This window comes from Homo sapiens, chromosome 4 (assembly GCF_000001405.40).
Source record: "Homo sapiens chromosome 4, GRCh38.p14 Primary Assembly".
Classification (NCBI taxonomy): Eukaryota; Metazoa; Chordata; class Mammalia; order Primates; family Hominidae; genus Homo; species Homo sapiens.
In genome coordinates, this window is record NC_000004.12 from 117,313,296 (window position 1) to 117,336,816 (window position 23,521).

A 23,521-nucleotide genomic window follows, 5' to 3' on the forward strand; every position below is an offset into this window, starting at 1 on the left:
GATTGGGAAATTGCGTCACAAGCCTTAGCAGTGAACCTGAGTTATATGCTCACTGATAGTGAGCCATGTCTTTCATACACTGCATCTGTATGAATTTACAGTGCCATTGCACTGACACATTCTATTTTATCTTCTAAATCTACTTGTGCTATCAAAACAAAATGCAACTAAATGTGTGGCTGAGTTTAGCTACTTGTAATGATAAAGGTGTTATAAAGAAATTGGAGGGTAGAAAGTGTAGGAGGAAAAAGCTGAGAGATATTAGTGGCCATTGTCTAAAGACCACTAGGAACAACACTGTAGTTTTTAAAGTTGCAATAAGACTGGGCGCGGTGGCTCATGCTTATAATCCTAGCACTTTGGGAGGCCTAGTCAGCTGGATAGCTTGAGCTCAGGAGTTCAAGACCAACCTGGACAACATGGTGAAATCCCGTCGCTACAAAAAATACAAATAAAATTAGCCGGGTGTGGTAATGCGCATCTGAGTCCCAGCACACCAAACCTGGGTGACAAAGTGAGACCCTGTCTCAAAAATAAATAAATAAAAAGTTGCAACAGGGGTGATCACACACCATGGGGGACATGAGCCATACCAGTAAGAGGACAATATTGCAGCCTTTCATTATTGCAAACTGCCAGCATCTGTGGAAATTCATTTTTTAGATTTGTCATTCCAGTGTTGGCTTACATTCTTTTGTGGCTGACCGCATTTGATTGATTTTTTTTTATTTGTACACAAATGAATTTTGGATACAATGTAAACACTCAAAGAAATGCTATTTTTAGATCAAAGAAAGGAATGAGAACAGTGGGATTATCTACTCATGTTATCTGTAGAGATTTCTTTTAATTCTGTAATATCAGCAGGAATATCCATGACATCATCCACATGCCTCTACCCACCTCACAAAATATAATCCCCTCTGCCATTATTTCCTTCAGACCATCTGACAAAGTAATTTCTCTGTGTTTCTATATTATATGTGGCATGTATGGTAGACATTAGTACAATTTAACAATATTTCCCGATCTCCTTCTTCCAGACACATAGAATTTTGGCATGCCTTACCTTCTTGATGTTATCTCCGAAGTTGTCTTATTAATGACACGTGTGCCCTTATAGGTAGATACATTTAATGTCTGGTGCTCTACTCTCTAGCCATTCATTCTCTGCTTTGATGATTGTGGAAAATATACTGTGATAAGAAGATGCCATCACACTCAGTGTTCCAACATGCTTGGGAGACTGAGTCTACATATGGATAGAAATTGCCCAAGTATTGACTGAATAAACAGTAGACTTAGAGTTAGGTATACATTTATTGCGTTGAGCCACGGAAACTTGGAGATTGCTTCTTATCACAGCATAAATCAGCCTGCTGTGAATGTATATTCTGCAAACAAAACAGTTTTTTAGGTTAACATTAAATCTAACATTAAGTTACAGTATTTTAAAAATCATTGCTGCACTAATGCTTTTAAAAAGATAATTAGTGAATTAATTAAATGCTCAGCAATGAAAGAGATGATTGGGAATATGTTACCTATATACAATGATTTTAAAGAATAATAGAACTTAAGTTTCCATTATCATTCATTGATTTTATAATGTACATTTTTCACAATGTGGGTACAAAGAAGCTTTGGTCTATACATAGTGACACAGATTACTATAATAGTAATCATAAAATCATGACGATTTTAGTAGAATGAAACAAAGAATGTAAATAAAATTTTTAAAGCAATTTACTATTTTTACCTAGGCTTATTTAAAGAGTTTTGTATAGAATAAGTAATCTTATCTTATTTCTAGCATATTTTCCTTAATTTTAAAGATAACTATTTAGGACACTTACCTGAATCTAGAGGTTAGTAGAAATATTTTTAAAATTAATTCGCTTTATCTCTTTTCTAGTTGAAATTAATACGCGGGACAGTCTGTGAAGAAGACTGCATTTCAGCAATTGTAATGTCACTCTATTAGGCAAATAGTATAGTGCATAGTAACTATACCAGGATTCTATCATATTGGCCATGGTATCTTGAGACATTCTCTCCTAAGTTTCTAGAGGTATGGCTGTTTCCTTCCTTTACTTGAATAATATCAGTTCTTCAGGATTCAAAGTTAATTGCTATTCTTGCTTTCATTCTTATGTTTCAGGCAACGTTTAATTGTCCAGGGATTGATAGTGTTTCAAATTGAGAAGCCACATAGCTTAAGAATATATTCATGAAAATGTTTGCTGACTGTCACCCAAGAGGCTTCACTGAGTGAAATTCTTCATTGAATTTTCTACTCTAGACTAGCTCTGAGCCTAGCAGTCTTGAAAACTTGACGGATTCAGGACACATAGAGTGAATCCATGTGTAAGTTATTCAGCCAATATATCTCATGAGACTAATTTGGAACTCATCTTCCTGCTAATTTTGGCAGGTAACATTGTAAGTGTTGACTTTAATACTTTATGTGTTCTTATTAATGTGTTGTTACACTACCAAACATAATAGTCATGTAAACTAAATTACTTCAATCTGCAATATTAAAATACCTTTTTCCTTCATTCAGGTAGACCTAGGAGCAAAAACAAAATCATAAAGTTTCTTGCTGATTGCTAAGTATCAGCCAAAAGTTAGAGAAAGCTCAAACTAACAGGGCCTTAGGTAAAATAGGAATTTCTTTCTGTCTCTTGTTAAAATAAGGCAGGAGCTACAGGACTGGAATGGTGTTTCTCGGTTTCAGGACACAGACTTCTTTTACTCTGTTGTTGTGCAGTGGTGACCTCATTTCCAAAATGTGCTCCTGGTTCAGAATTTCTATTTCACCTCCAGCAACCATACCCACATTCCAACCAACTAGAAGAGAGAAAGAAAAGAGGCTGGGCATGATCATTCTCTTTAACAATTTTTCTGAAAGTTGCACACACAATTTTTTTTTTTTTTTTTTTTGAGAGACAGAGTCTCACTCTATTGCCCAGGCTGGAGTGCAATGGTGCGATCTCTGCTCACTGCAACCTCCACCTCCTGGGTTCCCCACCCCCCAAGTAGCTGGGATTACAGGTGCCCACCACCACACCCAGCTAATTTTTGAATTTTAGTAAAGAAGGAGTTTCACCATGTTGGCCAGGCTGGTTTCAAACTCCTGACCTCAAATAATCCACCCACCTCGGCCTCCCAAAGTGCTGGGATTACAGGCATGAGCCACTGCGCCAGGCCACATATTTTTAATTTATACTCTATTGGCCAGAAGTTAATCACACGACCATTTCTACCTGCCAGGACGCTAGAAAATAAAAACTACAGTCTGAAAAGCCATGTGTTCAGCTACATTTTAGGAAGACAAGGGCTTTTAGGGGACAATAAGTATGGTCTTGAAACAAGAATTTTATCATTTAAACTGCAGTCATATAGTCTAATATGTAGAATGAGGATCACTTGACAGTTAGATTGAGCTACACTGAAACCTTGGTCAAGATGGCATGTATCCTACCAATTGCTCAGATTGGCGCTGCTGACATGAAGTTCTATTCAAAGCTTCCATGGGTAACCAAGCTCCCTTTGGACCACCAGATTTTAACTGTACACCTGTTTTTGTTGATGTCGTTGTTTTGTTTTGTTTGCTGTTTTTTTGGTGGCTGTGAGCTTGAATTTCATTATTGGAAAGGGGAGAAACAATATTGAGTCTTTCCAAAAAAACAAAACAAAATTTACCTTCTTATATGCAATTTCCTATACTGTAGAAAAAAGAATGTTAGAACTATATGTAAATTTTATAGTTTTTTAATTTTAAATGTTTGACTTTTATGTATACTTTTCTATTTTTTTTGTTTTCTATACTTTCCTATTTTATAGTAATAAAGAATTAACACTCCTCTAGCTAATAGGATTTTTACTCCATCCAGGTAAATTAATACTTCTAGGCATTTTATTCTCACCTTTTCATTTTTTATTTTATTTTTTTTCCTTAGGCACACATTTATCTTTCTCCCCAATTGTACAGGTAAGTCAGATTTAGAGAAGAAAAATCGTATATATATACAAATTGTGTGTGTGTGTGTGTATATATATACATATATATACACACACACACATATATGTATTTTACCTAATATTTGTATTTTACCTAATATTTGGCAATCTTAGAAATATTTAAGACATTTAATCTTTGAAAATATGAAGAAATATACTTCAATTGTTTCTTTTTCTAGTACCTTTATACCAACAATAACAAATACATAGTTGCACACATAATATTGTAATTTTAAAGTTGATTTTGTCACTGTGAAGTCCCTTGTGTGTGGATGTATGTGTATGTGTATGTAAAAATAATTTTCTAAACACACAATTGCTAAATTATGTATCACTTATCAAGCAGCAAAACAACTGAAATATAGGTGGAAATAGAAAAGTATATAAAAGTCAAATATTTAAAATAAAAACTATAAAATTTATATAGAATTTCTAACAGAAGAATGATGCCACAATTAGAAAATTTCTAAAAATTATTATTATCATTTTTTTATTTTTGAGACAGAGTCTCGCTCTGTCACCCAGGCTAGAGTGCAATGGCATGATGTCAGCTCACTGCAACTTCTGCTTCCCGAGTTCAAGCGATTCTCCTTCCTTGGCCTCCCGAGTAGCTGGGATTACAGACATGTGCCACCATGCGCGACTAATTTTTGTATTTTTGTATTTTTAGTAGTGACAGGGTTTCACCATGTCATCCACGCTGGTCTCAAACTTCTGACCTCGTGATCCACCCGCCTCAGCCTCCTGAAGTGCTGGGATTGTAGGCGTGAGCCACTGCATTTATTGATTTCTTGAAGTAAGTTTGCTGAAGTTGCAAACTTGGGGTTAAGCATTCAGTATTAGAGACGACAAGTTGCTGAATCAGAGAGACCTTCATGTTTGCTCTGCCATTTAAATATGAGCTCAACTAATTACTTTAATGACTACATTAATTTTGTAGAAAAGAAAATATATGTTGATTTATTATAAGAATTAAGGGAGATGATATATAAAAAGTCCTCTGCAACAGATCTAAGCAATAGAAGGAAGAGTCCTTTCTTCAAGGTCAACTTGATTATTGTTATTTTGGAGTAAAAGTTACAGACCTGTCTTAAGGTTATAGATGAAAATAAATGGAAATGTATTCTATTGGAATATTTAAAGCGTTGTATTTATCTGAAAAATTGTGGTTTTTTGCATGTTATATTTTATACTCTAGATAAATAAGTAGCAGGGTTGTTGCTGTTATTATTATTGTCGTGGTTTGCATAATTTTGCAATACCTAGCATTGCATTACAGAAAAACATTCGCCTTGGCATTAGGGTACATAATAAATGAGCAAGATGTGATTTCTTCATGTAAAATGCCTGTCCTCAAAAGAGAAATGTAAACTGGTAAATGATCAATTGTAATATAATATAATAAGTGCTATGGTCAAAAGAATCAGAAAAAAAGTCAGAAGTCAGTTAACATTGGAGATAGGGCTTCATTTTGAATGGTGGAGAACGTGAGGAAGCAGTTTTAGGCAGAAAGAACAATCTATGCAGAAGCACAGTGAAATGAAAATAAGACAAGTAGATATTTTAAGTGACTGCAATATAGGAACAAACCATAAGGAAGACACTTATGAAGATCATACTGGAGATAAATACTGAGATCAGATTATAAAGGGTCTCGTATGTTTTTAAAGTAATTTATACTTTTTTTATTTGGGCAATGTTTATGGTGTCATGCATAAACATTGAAGAAACTTTCTTAATTGTTTACTTTTCAAAAAAATTACTCTGGCATTAACATAGAATAGGGATTTTAATAATGGAAGACATTTAAAAAGAGAGACAATAACTCAATAAATTGGAACAGTAGTTAACGGTAGTGTCAAACAGGATTGTTAAGAAATTTGGAACTAGGTTCCCAGAACATGGAAAATGAAGAGATAAACATCCACATATTCTCTTTCAAATTCAGTCTATGTAATGCTCAATTAAGTAGCTAAGAAAATTTCACCAAATGTAATGCTAAAATTGTGAATATTTTTTAAAAGATTTCTTAATCGGGAAGAAAGACAAATAAAATTGTGAAAATACTACTTCTTCTAAGGATGTTAAATTTGTTGAAGACAGAAAGCAATATAATTACAAAATAAAGTGCATTTCTTTGCCAACAATTGCTAAAGTGCATAAAAAACAATGCAAAGAATTTGACGGTGTTAGAATAAATTACAGTAAGAAAGATTTGCTAAGCAGTTGCGGTATGTTCAGATATTCCTAGAATATCTGTTTATGGCATTTTCTCAATTCATTTTCAATAACAAAATACTTTAAGAATTTTTTTTGATCTATTAGAAGAATGAGGTACCAGAGAAAAAATACAAAGACTTTAAAACAAAAATTAATGCTTGGGTGGAAACTATGTACAGATATTATTGATGAAGTGATTACTTTAGCTTGAAAAAAATTAAGAGGTTAGAGAATGTGATCATAATGAATACTAAAGCACTATCTGTGATTTAATTTTCAATGAATTATTCATAACATAGTTAATAAAGAAAAGTGCACAAAGTGCTGAAAGGACATCATTGCAGAGTATACAAAAGTTCGCGCAAGCCTAAATACAAATTTCGCATTTTACAAAAAGGTGTAAGTCCTGAATAGGTTGGGATCTATTTCTTTTAAAATTACCTGCTTTATGATATATTTCTGACAAACTTTTTCATCCAAGAAATAGATGTCAGAAATATATCATAAAGCAGATAATTTTTAAAAAATGCATACTTTTTTCTTTAAGGTAAAAGCAACTACTTTTCAAGAGAATTTTTGTGTTAAGGAGAGAGCATTTTGAAAAAAGAAAAAGATTGTAAATATTTTCATCAGTTGGAAGACACTTCAGTAAGGCATGGAGTCTCCACCTGCATAAAGGCTGTACCACATTAGTCTTAATACGTTTAGTTTTAAGTAAACATGCAAGAAATATGCAGGGATATTTTGGTATTGTTTCCAGTCATTTGTACCCAATGAGAATGCAATATGTGAGGTCAGAGTCTCTATTATAGGAAAGGAGGGAAGATAAGCAATAACCAAAACAAACCCAAAATACATTGAAGTTAAACTTCATGAAAATCGAGGTAGGCACTTCACTTCTGTCAGGTGGTGTCAGGAGCATATGAGTATCTTTGGGGTCAGTTGTGGAGCCAGGGAAGCTTGCCCTTTAAATCATGAGTGTTCTGATTTGGTGGCCATTGTTACACACATATGTTTTTAATCTTTTACCTAAAGGAACCAGTATTAATCTCTTTTAATTATTTGCAATTCCCTGCAATCACACACTGATTTTGATATCAAAGATAATATGAATATATTACTTACAAAAATCTCACAATGGAAAACTATTAAAATGATAAATATTCCAGTTTCTTTTGAATTTTTTTGTGTAAATTTTTTTTTTTGGAATTACATACATTTGCTAAAATTATTAAAATGTAACTCATTTTGATTTGTTCTTGCTATGGCCTGAATATTTGTCCCCTGCCCCCCTTATTCATATGTTGAAATCTCAACCTCTAAGGTGATGATGATATTAGGAGGTTGAGGTCTTTAGGAGGTGATTAGATCATGAGAATGAAGCCCTATGAATAGGACTAGTGACCTTATAAAAGGGAACCCAGAGAACTACTTTGTTCTTTTATCATGTGAGAACACAGTGAGAAGGCTCTGTCTTTAAACCAGGAAGCAGATGCCATAGTTTGTGTCGCCCAAGAGTTTGCATGTTGGAGACCTGGAGACCTGGCTACTCAATGCAGCAGTGTTGGGATGTGGAATCTGGTGGTAGGTGTGTGGATTGTGGGGGCAAAATGTTAATGAATGAATTAATCCAAGTCTCAAGGGACTGGGTTAGTTCTCACAAGAGTGGGTTGTTATAAAATAAATTAGGCTTCCTCAGCTTCCTTTTGTAATTGCCTTCTCACAATGTGAATATCTTCTCATGCTATGATGTAGTAAGAAGGCCCTCACCAGATGCCAAGCAGATGTAGCCTCCTGACCTTGGACTCTCCAGCCTCCAGAACTGTAAGAAATAAATATATTTTCTTTATAAATTACCCAGTTTATGGTAGTCTCTTACAGCAACAAAACTAGACTAAGAAAGAGGACCCTCACCAGACACCAAATCTGCAAATACCTTGATCTTGGACTTCCCCGCCTCTGGAACTATAAAGAATACATTTATTTTACATTTTTTAATTTTTCTATTTCCATAGATTATTGGGGAATGGGTGGTGTTTGCTTACATGAGTAAGTTCTTTAGTGGTGATTTGTGAGATTTTGGTGCACTCATCACCTGAGCAGTGTACACTGCACTCAAGCCACATAGTTTATGGTATTTTGCTGGGGCAGTTTGAACAGAAGTAACAGTTCTTAAAGAACAATGGATTTGCATCAGGGAAGAGAGTAATTTTTGAGCTTAGTTTCAAAAATTTCTCAATACAATTTTGCATAGTTGATAAATATGACTTAAAGAAAGTGTCATTAATTAGTATAATGAAGCCAATCAGGTACTTACTCCATTAGAATCAATGTATTTTGATATCTTTCTCATCTATGACAGTCATTAAAACCAAGTAATGATGTGAAATGAATGTAGAATTAGATATTAGGATCACAGTATCATATGAAATAAAACCAGAATTTTCAGATAGAACTAAACATATTCAATTATATTGACCTTTGACACTATATAAAATAAGGTAAAATGCATTGAAGATTATTGTTTTTATCTACTTTTTGACTTTATTTATATTTGTTCCACAGTATCATTGTAGATATCCACAGTGGTACAAAACTAGAGAATTTATACATATATGAATATTTCATGTGTAAAAGATAATAATATAGCTCTATGAGTCAAAATATATAGAGATGATTATTAGAAAATTGGGCCAAATCTCGAAATTGACCGATGGGTTAATCAGAGTAATCAGTAGGTTTTTCCCACAGTAAAATATAAATAAATAATGTTATGATAGATAGTTACAAATGACTGAGCTGTGGGGCTGAATTTTAGACTTTAGGTTTCTCAGATGGCATGATATGCAGTAATATATATCTCAATTATAACCATAAGATATTTAGCTTTATGATGCCATTCACTAAAATGTAAAATATTGGAAGTGAGTCAGATGGAGAAATGTTGAATATTTTTAAAAAGTATAATATATTTAGAAATGTAGTCACTTCTGCTTTAATGTGATATATGCATTCCTAAAAGTCACAACACTGTAAAAAACACAATTTACAAAATGCATATGGGGAAAATGTGGTTAAGAGGACATACACTCCAAATTTCATTAAGGACACATTAAAAATCTGATAGAAAATAATAGCATTTATACATATCATATTGTTAAGAAATACATAAATACCACAGTAAATATGGCACTTTATCTTGAAAAACACCTGAAGTCTGCTTGTAGAAGTGGGCACTGGGAGAATTGCAGGTGGACATGTGTGACTTACTGTGGATGGGTTGGAAGAGAGTTTACCTATAATCAGAGGGAAATTATCACATGGATTTGGAACGGGGTAGCTCTCACATGGTGAACTGAGGTTATGTGGTAGATGTTTGAGGGTTTGTGTGAGTGTAAGTATATGTACATTTGTGAACACACACACACACACACACAGATACTGGCTCAAAAATACATTTTTTATAGGCTGGTTTCTTTTTTGTCTCATTTACCCTACTGACCTAACAGTATTTTTTTCCCAAATATACACTTGAATATTTGTTTTGGGGACAATGTCTGTGAATCCAAAAATAAGAAAGTAATGATTACATGGTTATAATTATTTTTGATTTTAGATTATTTTTATAATATTACCAACAATTATACCAACAATTATTTATCTATAGATTCATTTGTCATATTTTCAACATTAGTCGGGTTGGCTTTTAAGCCTTCTTAACGTACCATATTCATGGTGATCTCTTATTTCCTTGTTTTACATACATATGAAATCCCTCCATTTGCTTTAATTTAGGTCATACCTCAAGTCCTGTCTTTCACAAAATCTTTGTTAATTTTAGCCCACTTCTAAACTTTATTATATCATGAATTGAATTTTAATTTCTCTAACATAGCTATACTTCTCTCTCCAACATTTGAGATTAGAGACTATACTCTCATATTCATTCAAATGTGAAACTCATATTATTGTTTAATAGGACTTTCTTGATAGACTAAGACTAATGTTTCATAATCTGTAGATGAACACAATATGTTATGATAAGTGCTATAACTAACTCTAAATAGAATGCACTGACAGCACAGAGAAAGGTAAAAATCAAATCTTCTTAGAGAGTGAGATTAGAACTACAGCAAAAGTGAACATTGAGTTCAATTAAAAAGAGAGCAGGTGGAGCGTTCCAGGCAAATAAATGGAAAGAGATATTCCATGAAGAAAATTGATACAAAAGGATACACAGTCATGAAACAGTACCAACATTTTTTGCAAAATAGGAAATGCCTTAGAGTGAAAGAAATAATATGATTGCCAAAGAGTAGTTTGGACAGTTGTGACTAGAGAGAGAAGTTATGGCCAAATTGTTGTGACCTTTAATGCTATATGGTAAGGAGTTTAGAATCAGCCTTTTGCCTAAAAAGACCTGGTGGAAGTCAATAATTAGTATTTTCCAATTTTATTTTCATCTTATAAGTATAAATGCAAATAATATTTATCACTCAAATCATATTGTTAGTATTCCTCACCCTGCTTCACCATACAAAGACCATGAATGCTTATGCTCATCTTTTATATTTAATTCTAGAGTTTAAGGCTTTCCCTTTGGGTAGTTATCTCTGACACAACTTTAAAAATAACAGAAGCTCTCTTCACAAAAAAACTGTGAAAGCACAAAAAAGTATAAAAATAAAACTGGCGTAAATTTTTGTTAAGGAAAATAAAGCTAAAACCACTAACTATATTTGTAGAGATTCACATTGCACACATTTAAAAAAAACTTGCTTTTAAGTCAGTATTAAAAATATTTATAAAAAGACTTTAAATCGAAGTAGTATTTTTTAGTAACTGATATTTCAATGAGTAAAACATACTTAATTAGAGCTATTTGCAGAATGATGTGTTGAACACAACATGAAATGTGCTCTGTAGTTTTCAGAAGGCAACAGTAAAGATACAAACCTGCCAGACATAAAATGATATTGGAATAACAAATGAGCGTAGACAGATGATTAAGTGTGTCATCACTTGCAAGTCTAAGGAAAATGAGTGTTGTTAGCTAAAATACTAAATGTTTTAAAAAGATGTCATCCCTGTCAAGTAGATATTTATTTATTCAACAAATATTTTTTGAGTACCTACTATGTAACAGGTCCTTTTCAAGGCACTCACGTAGGATTCTAGTGTGGAGACAATTAGTAAACAAGTAAACAAACAATATGATTTGAGAAAGTAAAAAAGGCTTTAAGGAAAACATAAAAGTGTGAGTGAGCATAGCAGTCTGAACTGAGGGCAACTTTTCCTAGGCTATTAAGGACAGCTGTCTCTGAAGAAGTGATAGGCAAAGGAGCTAGACCACAGGGAGTATGGTATTCCATGCAGTGCAGCTGTAAGATCATAACATCTCAGAGGAGATTAACTTTGGTCTATAATCAACCATTTGACTGGTCTTTGTCCTCTATTATTATGAGTAAGCCTCTAAAATCTTTAGAATTTACTTTCTTGTGATAGGAAGGTCTTTGTTATTTGCTGTGGGTCCCAGAGTTTATGTTCATAAAATGAGTCAGGTGGAGGCTTGCCATTCCAGAAAAACCAGCCATGTAATATCACCTGGGGTTTGGTCCAGGTGATATCAGACCAATGCCCAGGAGGAGAAGGGAACTAAAGTTCAATCACTGGTCAATGATTCTATGTATCATGCTTACATAATGAAACTGCAATAAAAACTCTGAACAACAATCTCAATTTCACTGTTCTGATTTGTATCCTTTATAATAAAATTGTAAACTTAAGTATTGTGCTTTCCCAAGTTCTGTGAGTCATTCTAGCAAATGACCACACTGATGGGGCAGTGGAAACCACAGAATTTGTAGTCATTTAGTCAGAAGCACAGATGGCCACAAAACCCTGGAGTTTCCGGCTGGTGCCTGAAGTGAGGAGGATCTTGTGAGGGACCCAACCCTCAACCTGAGAAGTCTGTGCTCAAAGTCTGAATAAAGTCAGAATTGTATTGAAGTGTTTAAGATAAATAAGGAGCAGAAAAAAGGCAAAATTGTGTTTGGAAAACATCAAGAGGGAAGACCACATTTGGGGGACTACAGGAACCAAAATACGGAGTTTGAATGTTTTTCCTAAGCACAATGGAACCTGTGGAAGATTTTTAGCAGGTGAGTAACATAAATGTAATTATGGTTAAAATGTTACCCTAGACACCATGTTGAGAATGGCAGACTGGTTTGGAGGCTAAAGTAATCTTCCAGGTAAAGACGACCAGGCATACATAGACTGTGTGGTCACAGTGGAAGTAAAAGTATTCCATTTTTTTCTTTTCTTCCTTTTTTTTTTTTTTTTTTTTTTTTTTGGTGTTAGATCCACAGAGCTTGCTGGGTTCAATAAGGAAGAAAGGTACTGAGAGAAATCAAAGACTATTCATATAATTGGCTTGAAGGTAGTAATTACTTAGATGGAGAAGGATGGGGAGAAACTGACCTGTAATACAAAGTGAAGAGTATTTTGTGTATATCAAGATGGACTATTGTGGTGACAAAATAATAATTCCTCCAAAGATGTCCACATTCTAATCTCTGGAATTTATGAATATGCTACCAGAATTAAGGCTGCTCTCCAGCTGACCTTAATGCAAGGGGAATAATCCTGTGTCATCTAGTAGGCCCAATGTAATCACAAGGTTCTCTAAAAGTGGAAGACGCAGGAGAGAAAATCAGAGGGATGGCAGAGTGAGAAGGATTCAGCACTAAGACACTAGCTTTGAACATGGAGGAAGAGGCCACGAAGCCAAGAAATGCAGTGGGCTTCTAGAAGCTAGAAAAGGCAAGGAAACAGATTTTCCACAGCGCCTCTAGGAAGGAACTCAGCTGTGCTAACTCCTTGGTTTTCTCCCCAGGGACACCTATGTTGGACTTCAAAACTATAGAACTGTAATAAAATAAATTTATGTGGTTTTAAGCCAGTAAAATTTCAGTAATTTGTTATGGCAGCAGTAAGAAACCAATACACCAGTTAGAAGTATTCAGGAGGAAGTTAATTTATAAATATTTAGTTCAAAGGAGAGGTTGGAGACAGAGACATAGATGCAAGGGTCAAAAGCATATTGACAAAAGGCAGATAGGCCAAAAGATGGCTAATTTAGATACATGTGTTGTGATAGATACAGTTTTGCAATTTGTACAATAGGGAAATTTTCTAGGATGAGTACTAAAATATTTGTATAAATATTTTAAAAGAATTTATCCATATGTTACTAGGCAAGTAGTAGGAAAAAAATTTTAAATCATATAATCATCTTATTCAATTCCTGATATAATTTTTATGTCGTGAATTATTTTGTTTAGAATATTCAAAACTATACTTTGTGAATTATTTTGTTTAGACTATATACTTTTGAATATTCTAAACAAAATAATTCATAACATAAAAATATAAAAGTAAAGTGTATAAAATTATACTTGTTTTTCATAAAACATGTTTTATGTGTTTATGTTTTTCATTTAGCACAGTTTTTAAAATTTCAAAACTAAGTATTAGAAAAATAATTAACATATATGCAAGATACAACAGAAGTTGTTCAATGGCTTATTCTATAGTAAGAATTGTGGAAGATTTTGTCTGCTTTTTTCTTTCCCCTCCATCAAATAATTTTATACTGCTTAACAACTATTGAAGAAATTCCAAAACAACACTGATTTAGTAAAATAATGAATAATTTTGTATTTGCTGAATGATAACTACTATCAGAGAATCATTAAATAAAAAATAATCTTTTTTTAACCAACTCTGGATACTGCCATGCTAATTATTTTGAGAAATGACAAAAGTTATTCTATATAATTTTCAGCAAAGTCAATTTCCCTTTATTTTATACAAATATATATTATTCTGGAGTAACATTATATTTAACTAGTTAAATTGTTTAACCACTTGTAATTCGAGGTTAATTTTTCCTGGCATCAATAGTGTCTTACTGAGATAATAATGGATTATGTTAAGACAGTCTTATTCTTTCCAGTTGAAAAGACTGTTCTCTAGCATGGGCAGAAAAGAAAGTCTGTTTTTTCCTTGATAAAGCAAATGAAAGTAAAGTGAAAAAAGCATTGCTGGAGCACACATCTAGACAAAGCTGCTTCATGCTTAAGAAGAAAGCCAGCTGTGAAGCGATACTGGCCATTTATGGTCAGATGATGGCTTTCAATGGCATCAGTTAAATTTAAAGATACCAAGAAAATTGTGTGACATTGCATTAAAAAGCTTTTAGACCGCTCTTTGGATACAAAATGCAGTTTTCGTGTAACTTTTCTCTCTCCAAGCTAGTGGAGAATAAGGCAATGATGTTTGTACTTTAGGGCAGACTGGGAGTTATTGTTACAGAATCCAAATCCAGCCAAGCAAGAATTGGGTACAAGTTATTCATTTCAATTGTGTCTTTTATACTGTACTTTTTAAAAGATTGATGTTTCCTTTTACCAAGAATTAGCTGCTATTCATATATTTTATTCAATTACAGTTATTATGTCCTGTTGAATTTTTTTTCACTACTCCTACCACTGTCCTTTCAGTATTCGCAAAAAAGCTCTTACAATATTCCATTCTGTGAGAAGTTTCGACCAAAAAGTGAGTGTAACTCTGATAACACTTATTTATAGAGCAGTTGGCTTTGATGAACAATGAACTGTTACTTGATTTTACTCTTGGTTCAAGGACATCCACAAGTGCTGTCAAATTGAAAGCACACAAGTCACCTTCCTAAAGAGGTAAGTGGTTTTCCTTCCTCTCTCTCCTGGACAGAGGTCAATTTCTGTTCAGATTGGTTTGTTTATTCCATGAGAATATGGTATTTAAAACACATAATTAAAATGTACAGTTTGAAAAGTTTGGACATATGTATACACTTGTTTAACCATCACCAGTCATTATAATGAGCACATCCTTTATCCTCAGAAGTTTTCTCATGCCGTTTGCAATGGATTCCTTTCCTCCTGTCTCTACACTCCAGCCCCAGGCAACCAACGATCTGCTTTGTCACTGTGGATTAGTTTGTTTGATTTAGCATTTTATATCAAAGAAATCATAGAGTCTGTATCTTTTTTTGTCTTGCTTCTTTCACTCAGCATAATTATTTTGAGATTTATTGTGTTGTAGCATGAATAAGTAGTTAATTTATATCTACTGGTGTGAAGTATTCTATTGCATGGAAACAACACAATTTATGTATCTATTCACACATTGATGTACTTGGCAAGTAAAGTTGCTATGTGGTGTTATAATTTGCATTTTCCTAGTGAATAATGATGTTCAGCATCTTTTCATAGATTAGTTGGTCATCCAGCTACTTTGGGGAAGTATCTGCTCAAATATTTTGATTATTTTAAAAAATTGGATTGTTTGATTTTTAGTAAGTTTCAGTAAACATTTGAGTTTTTAGAATTGTTTATGCATTTGGTATACAGGCCCTTTGTGAGATATGTGATGTGCAAATATTTTCTCCCAGTCTGTGGCTTGTCTTTTCATTCTCTTTCAATGACTTTCAAAGTGTTATTTTTAATTGTAATGAAGTCCAACTCATTAATTTTTTTGTTATGGTTTGTGTTTTCATTGACATATCAATAAAATCTTTGCCTAATTTCATGCCATAAAGATATTTTTCCTGTATTTTCTCCCTGAAGATATATAGTATTTTGTTTTACATTTAGGTCTATTACTCATGTTGATCCAATTTGAGTTAATTTCTGTATATGGTATGAGGTATTAAGAGAGTTCATTTTTTACATGAATATTCAATAACTATAGCACTATTCATTCAAAAGATTATCCTGTGTGCACTGAATTGCTTTATAAAAACTCAGTTGTTCATATATTTATATGTCTGTTTCTAGACTCTTAGTTGTTTCATTTATCTGTCTGTCTTTACACAAGTGCCACACTCTATGATTAATGTAGTTTTATAATAAGCCTTGAACCTAGGTAGCATTATTCCTGTAACTTTATTTTTCAAAGTTGTTATGACTCTTTATATAAGCTTTATAAATGGCTTTTTGAATTTCCATATGAATTTTGAAAGTGGTCTGTCATTTCTATTAAAAAGAAGACAAAAACCCCTGGGAATTTTATTAAGATTGCATTAAATCTATAGGTCAATTTAAGAAGAATTGACATTTTAAAACTATTAAGATTTCTAATTCATGCACATAGTATCTCTTTGCTTATCTAAGACATAATTTTTTCAACGTTTTGTAGTTTTCAGTGTATTAGTCCTTTACATGTTTCCAGAAATTTTTCCTGTTTCACTTATTTCTAGTTTCTAAAGGTAGAAGTTGAGATAATTGATTTCAGATCTTATTTCTTTTCTAATGCAGATCTTTCACACTATAAATTACTGATTTAGTGGCATGCATAAATTTCAGTATGCTGCATTTTTATTTTTATTTAAAAATTATTTGTAATTTATTTTTTATTCTTCCTTTGACTCCCTCACCGTTCAGTTTTTAGAAGTACTTTAGCTAGTTCTCTCTCTCTCAATTTTATTTAATTTCATTGTGATCAAAAAATATACTTTGAATAACAAATTTTTTTAAGTTTATAAAGATTTATTTTCTGGTTAAGAATATAGTCTATTTTGGTGACTAATTCATGAGCCCCTGAAAATAAGGCATATTTTCAGTTTTAAATAAAGTGCTAAATGCCAGTTATGTCAATTTGGTCTCCTAAATGCCAATTATGTCAATTTGGTTTATGATATTGTTTGGCTGTTCTCTCATGTATCTTTATTGACTCTCTATCTACTTATCAATTATTGACACAGGAGTATTTAAATTGCCAACTATAATTATGGATTTATCAATTTCTCCTTCCAGTTCTATCAGTTTATACTTTATGTATTTTGAAATTTTGTTGAATTCTAGGTGGTAAAGCCCATTATCACTCAAATTACGATCAAATGACCCAGTTTCTTGGGAATGCTAACATTCTTGAATTTACATTTTCTATTGCTATGCCTCCAAATTAATCGCCCCATATAAAGAGATGCTTAGGCTGAGAGTATGCCCAGGATGGAAAGAGGAGACAAACACACGAAGTACCCAATAGCATTGTCTTCAAAGGACAGGCTCTGATAGCCGGTAAGATCTGTGTAGTAAATAGACTTCTCTCTCATTTAGCCTTATTAATTTGGAATTCTGGGCTTCAGTCTTTTCATCCTTAAAATAACTAATGATAAGAATGCTAATCTTTTAAGACAACTTTGAAGATAAAGTGAAATAATTCTTATAAAACACACTGCATAGGGCTTGACACAGGGTAGCTGTTAGTCTAAGATAAGTGCTATTATCATTTGGCAAGCTGTATTTTTACCCTTGTTTATCTTTGACCTGCAATCTCCTCAGGAATTTATTTTTCAACTTTAAGGGTCTAGAAAACATAAACTACTCCTGGAAGTCACATACTAAGTAGAGGACTCGATGTCTGAGTAAAGTCATCCTTCATTGGTAGCCAAATACAGGACACAGTGAGTTTCAAGGGTGTCAGAACATTTTCACACTATTGTCTAGCAAACCCCATTTAAATTCCAAGAGTGGGGTTGTCAGGATTAGATATGGATTTTCATGAACTAATAAAATAGTCATAATATAAATACATATGGGAAATTTTCTATCAATAAATGTTGAATAATGAAAATATGTTAGTTGCTGCTGTTACGATATTTAGAAGGAGCACTAAATTAAATTAATTAAATTAAGATTCTACAGTTAAAAATAGCACTAGAATTTCTTGTGAAATATGACACTTAACATTAAAAATGTCAGTGGCAAATGTTGCTATTATTTCTCTTTTTCTCAAAACTTCCTCAATTACAATGGCTGTGTTTAATAAATTATATTTTAATTAAAGCAGGAAAAGGGAAAATTAGGTGAAAAAAACCTCATCTTTTATTAGAAGTCTTCTTTGAGGGAAACACTAATTTTCATCGTGAATATCATTCAGCTGGAGGTGGCATTGAAGATTTAATTTGGAAAGATGTCAAGAAAACAAAGGATTTCTCTCTGACCTCCTTTCCCCAATGGAAAAGATGATATCACTTCGAAGTTTCTTCTAAAACAAAGAATAACTTTTCAAAAGTTTCCTTTGAAATTGGAGTCAGTAAAGCTGAACAAAAATATCATAAACACACCTAATCTTTGTCCACTTCCCAAGCCTGTCCCAATTTCTGATGAATGCTACACTCAGAACCATTTCTCATATAAAGAGAACATTTGCTATTTATTGGAAAAAGTTCCATTTTTTTGACAATGTACTGTAATTCCTTGGGAGTAGGCTCCTAAATTGTCAATCTTGGCATATGAAAAATTCAAACGAATTAACAATAAAATTGTTATATTAGTCTGTTCTCACACTGCTGTGAAGAAACATCAGAGACTGGGTAACTTAGAAAGGAAAGAGGTTTACATGACTCACAGTTCTGCGTTGCTGGGGAGGCCTCAGAAACTTACAATAATGGCAGAAGGCAAAACAGAAGCAGGCACCTTACTCACAGTGCAGCAGGATGGAATAAGTGCAAGCAAGGGATACGCTGGATGCTTATAAAACCATCAGATCTCCTGAGAACTCACTCACTATCATGAGAACAGCATGGGGGAACCGCCACCATCATCCAATTACCTCCACCTGTTCCCGCCCTTGACACATGGAGATTATGGGGATTACAAATCAAGGTAAGATTTGGGTGGGGACCCAAAGCCAAACAATTATATAAACAAAGAAATGGAATTTTTCAGATTATTTTCTTCAATTAAATTATATAAAGTATATGAAGAGAAGAATATGCTATATCTTATTTTCAGGATAAGTCTACAATATTCATTTTATAAATTAAAGAGTTAATGTTTTCATTCAAATTGTCATAACAATCCAAATATAGGCTACCAAGAAATAAACCTAATAACATATAAGCAAGAGTTTAGCCAACACACACAGACACACACACACACACACAAAGACACACACACACACATTAATAAAACACATGGAGGAAGATGCAGATTTGTGGAGAAACATGCCATGTTAATAGTTGTTAAGAGAGATACAGTAATAATATTGATATCACCAAATTGATTTGTATATTAAGCATAATTTCAATAATTCCAGTATATATGGAAGAACAAATAACCAGGGAGAATCATGACAACGTAAAGAATAAGATTTCAGAAGGGAGACTTGCCCCATAGGATTTATTCATGTCCATTACACAGATCAATCCCAAATGGATAAATAATATAATTATAAAATGATTTCTAGGAGAATGTCAAAGTATCTTTAGGGGAGAGAAGATTATAATAAGGTAAAAACACAAAATTTTAAAGAATATATATTTAATTATGTTCACATTAATATTTTTCTCTTTGTCAAAAGGCACATTAAAGAAAGTATAAATTCAAATTACTTACAAGGATAAGATCCCTCAAAACAAATAATTGATAAAAGATTGCTATGCAAAATTATAAAGAATGTCCATAAATCAATAAGAAAAAGACAATTAAATAGAAAAATGGTTACACACATTCAAATAAATTACCAAAAAGTTAACAGCATAAATTGCCAATAATAATGTTATAAGTGTGCTCACGTTTATTTATTATCAATAAGCTACAGATTGTAAAATAATGAAATGAAATTGTTTTATTATCATTTTCAACTATGAGGGCTCAAATATTATTATTTTTATAAAATATATTTCAGAATACTTAATAAGCTCAATGTTTTCTTTTGACTTTTAAAGTAGTTATAAGACAGTAGAGGAATACTGAGTATTAGATGTTTTATTTCTTTGTGGAAAACAAAAGAATTTAGTGACATTTGAAAAACCTAGGATCTTGTTTACTAACACTGAAATAACTCCTAATACTACCTTAGCATTCAAGCAAAACTCTGCTCCTTCAGATTTGTTTTTCTTATTCTGTTTTGTAAGGTGGTGAAGAAATGACATATGACAAAGCACAACAGAAAATATTCCTGAGGCAAGTGTATCATGCGTATATATGTCTAAGATTTTTTGGTTTTATATTTACCCTGAGACATTTTCAGTCACAAGTTGTATTATCTTTGGAGTCATATATTTTAGTTTTCCTAATTTATACACACACACACACACCAGATGTCCTAAAGTTGCTATTTCTGTTGACTCCTTGGACAGATCATAAAGAATCTCTGAAAAGAAGAATATAAAGGTATTTGTACAACTTAAAAATGTAAGAAAATACATAAAGCTAAATCAAGTAAAATGTCATATGTTGAGCATTTAATATATACAAATATTTTATACCAATTCTTTATTTCTTTTTTTTCTTTTCTTTTTCTTTTTTTCTTTTTTTTTTTAGACGGAGTCTCGCCCTGTCGCCCAGGCTGGAGTGCAGTGGCGCCATCTTGCCTCACTGCAAGCTCCGCCTCCCGGGTTCACACCATTCTCCTGCCTCAGCCTCCCGAGTAGCTGGGACTACAGGCACCCGCCACCATGCCCGGCTAGTTTTTTGTGTTTTTAGTAGAGACGGGGTTTCACCGTGTTAGCCAGGATGGTCTCGATCTCCTGACTTAATGATCCGCCCGCCTCAGCCTCCCAAATTGCTGGGATTACAAGAGTGAGCCACCGCGTCCAGCCCCAATTCTTTATTTCAATATGTTCACATATCAAAATATGGTTCACATAGTTATATAGCTCACATTATAAAATGATTTATAGAATACAGTTATACTTATCTTACAGATGTAGCAAATGGGGTCCAGAGAGTTGACTGAGTTACTCAGGAGCACATAGATATAAGTGGGCTTTGATTGGAGTCAATAACTGACTTACTCTAAAACCTATACCATTTCAGGAGATTTTTACAAATGTCAGAGTGGACCAACTCTAAGACAACCTTTATGCTCATAAGAGACCACCAGCAACACAGGAGGTAGTATGATTGATTGTAGGTTGGACACAGTGGTTCACACCTGTCATCTCAGCACTTTGGGAGGCCGAGGCAGATGGATCACATGAGGCCAGGAGATTGAGAACAGCCTGGTCAGCATGGTGAAACCTTGTCTCTACTAAAAATGCAAAAAATATTAGCCAAGCATGGTGCACACCTGTAATCCCAGCTACTTCGGAAGCTGAGGCAAGAGAAATCACTGGGAGGCAGAGGTTGCAGTGAGCCGAGGTCACGCCACTGCACTCCAGTCTGGGTGACCGAATGAGACTCCATCTCAAAAAATAAAAAATAAAGATGATTGTAAGGCAGTTTCCATGCCTTGTAAAGCAGCTCCTCAAACACAAATGAAACTGTTGACTGAATGGTGCAGTATTATGGAAAAAAATTTAGAATGAAAAAAAAAAAAAGGAAAGCACAGTAAGAACAGATGTGGATAGATAGAAAGTGAAAATGCGAAAGTCAGAGCTAATGCAGAAGTAGGAAATGAGAAGAAAGACTGGGTTACCTTACCTCCCACAATTTTGAACTTGCCTGATAAAAAAAAAATATTACCTCGGCCCTTGGGTTTGGTGACTAAAGGCTGATATTGATTGACAGGATAGACAGGATCCCCAGAAAGTTAACACTATGATACTAGTAATTTTGTAAGCCTCTTTCTTGCTGAGGGATTGAACAGAATTATTAAACTCAAATTATTGCCTGGAACCTAGGAGTTAGAAAAGGCAATCACTATTACTGGAGAAAATAATAGAAAAATGTGGTTAATAATTTTACTCAGCAGAAGAAGGAAAGAAATTGTATATGATACAATGCACCCTCAATCTGAATTTACTAGTAGGGTTTAATGGTGCGATGAGGAAAAAGTTATTAATTCCTGTATTTTAAATGTCTTCTCTGTGAAGTTACTCACAAAATTACTATAATAATTAAAAATATAAAAGACAATTATATCCATAAATTATGTAACACATTTTCCAGCATTTGACAATCTTATTTGAAATTTGTATCTTGAGTTTGTATCTTGTATCACTTCTTTCAATACCCCCAAATGAAAATGTTAACCTGGTTATTATTCCAGAAGTTTAAATATTATAACTAGATATTCAAATACCTAACAAATAACATGTTGATATTTTGTTCATTTCAAAAGAAAGATGTGACTTTCAGGTGCAGTGTATTAATTACTTAAGAGTATAATACATGTGGGCATAGCTATGGATACAACAGAACTTAGAGTTCTCAAAACATTTTTTAAAAAGTAAATTTGCTAATTTTTAACAGTCATTTTTATGCAACTGGATATGTATTAATATAGAATTTTTCTTGCCATAATAATAAAAAAGAAACTATTTTCTTACCTATTATCCTATGATCATGTGAATTTAGACCAAATTACTTAAATGAGACAAAGCTCTCAAGCTCTTTATTTGGATAAAGAAGCAATTTGGTTTATAATTTTATTGTGCCTTTATGGAGGAAGAAGGGGGTCAAATCTCCTTTTCTTCTCTGGCCAAGAAATTCTACAGGTACCCATGCTTCACAGGAATGCAAAGTAGTCAATGAAATCTATTACATTAAGCAACAAGTGTAATTACAGAATTTTGAATAATTCAAAGTTATGAGTTGTTTAACAACAGAGCATATCTCAATGTCTGAAATTTAGGCATCTTAAATAATTTCTTAGTTTAAATAATACTTTTAAGTAGAACTTTGCAATAGCAGAAAACAGAACAGTATCATACATTTTTTATACAAGCTTGCATATTTGATAAGACTCCAAGATTTGTATTTTGGCAATGTTCCCTATTTAACATTTTATTAGCTCTAATTTTATGAATTTGAATTGTGTTTGCTTGCAATTCATGTAACTGTAAGGGAAAAGGCAAGATATTCTCCTTCTGACACTATTTTTTGCTATTATTCTCAAGGGTAAGCCATGGCGTTTCATCAATTAACAATAAAGGAAGAAAGCAGGCCTAAAGCCTATGATGGAAAAAGAAAATGGCAGAAGAGATTGTGAACTTAAGTAAAGTATTGTAGGTATGCCGATGTATATTTTGAATTTATGGGTAGGAAACATAATAAAGCCTTATAAGAAAGAGAACATGTGCACCACCAGAAAAATTGAAGCATCATTTTCTTCCATTCTTTTACTACTAAAGTCAAATGACACACATTTAAGTAGAAATTTGTAATAACAGAAAACAGAATAGGATCATACATTTCAAATGACTTTAGTAGTAAAAGAATGGAAGAAAATTGTCTGATTATTCATTTATTGTTTCTGCTATTCAGCTAATTCTGCT

General features: G+C 33.1%; 1 long non-coding RNA gene across 1 annotated transcript in view; it reads right to left on the minus strand.

Annotated features, from left to right (window-relative positions):
• Positions 1–1,301: 1,301 nt before the first annotated feature.
• LINC02262 (long intergenic non-protein coding RNA 2262) overlaps positions 1,302–23,521 on the minus strand; it is a 46,043-nt gene continuing 23,823 nt past the window's right edge. The window contains exons 4-7 of the long non-coding RNA NR_147151.1: positions 8,017–8,068; positions 2,550–2,853; positions 1,857–1,938; positions 1,302–1,394 (exon numbers count right to left, since the gene is read on the minus strand). This is a non-coding gene — a long non-coding RNA (long intergenic non-protein coding RNA 2262). The remainder of the gene's footprint in view (positions 1,395–1,856; positions 1,939–2,549; positions 2,854–8,016; positions 8,069–23,521) is intronic.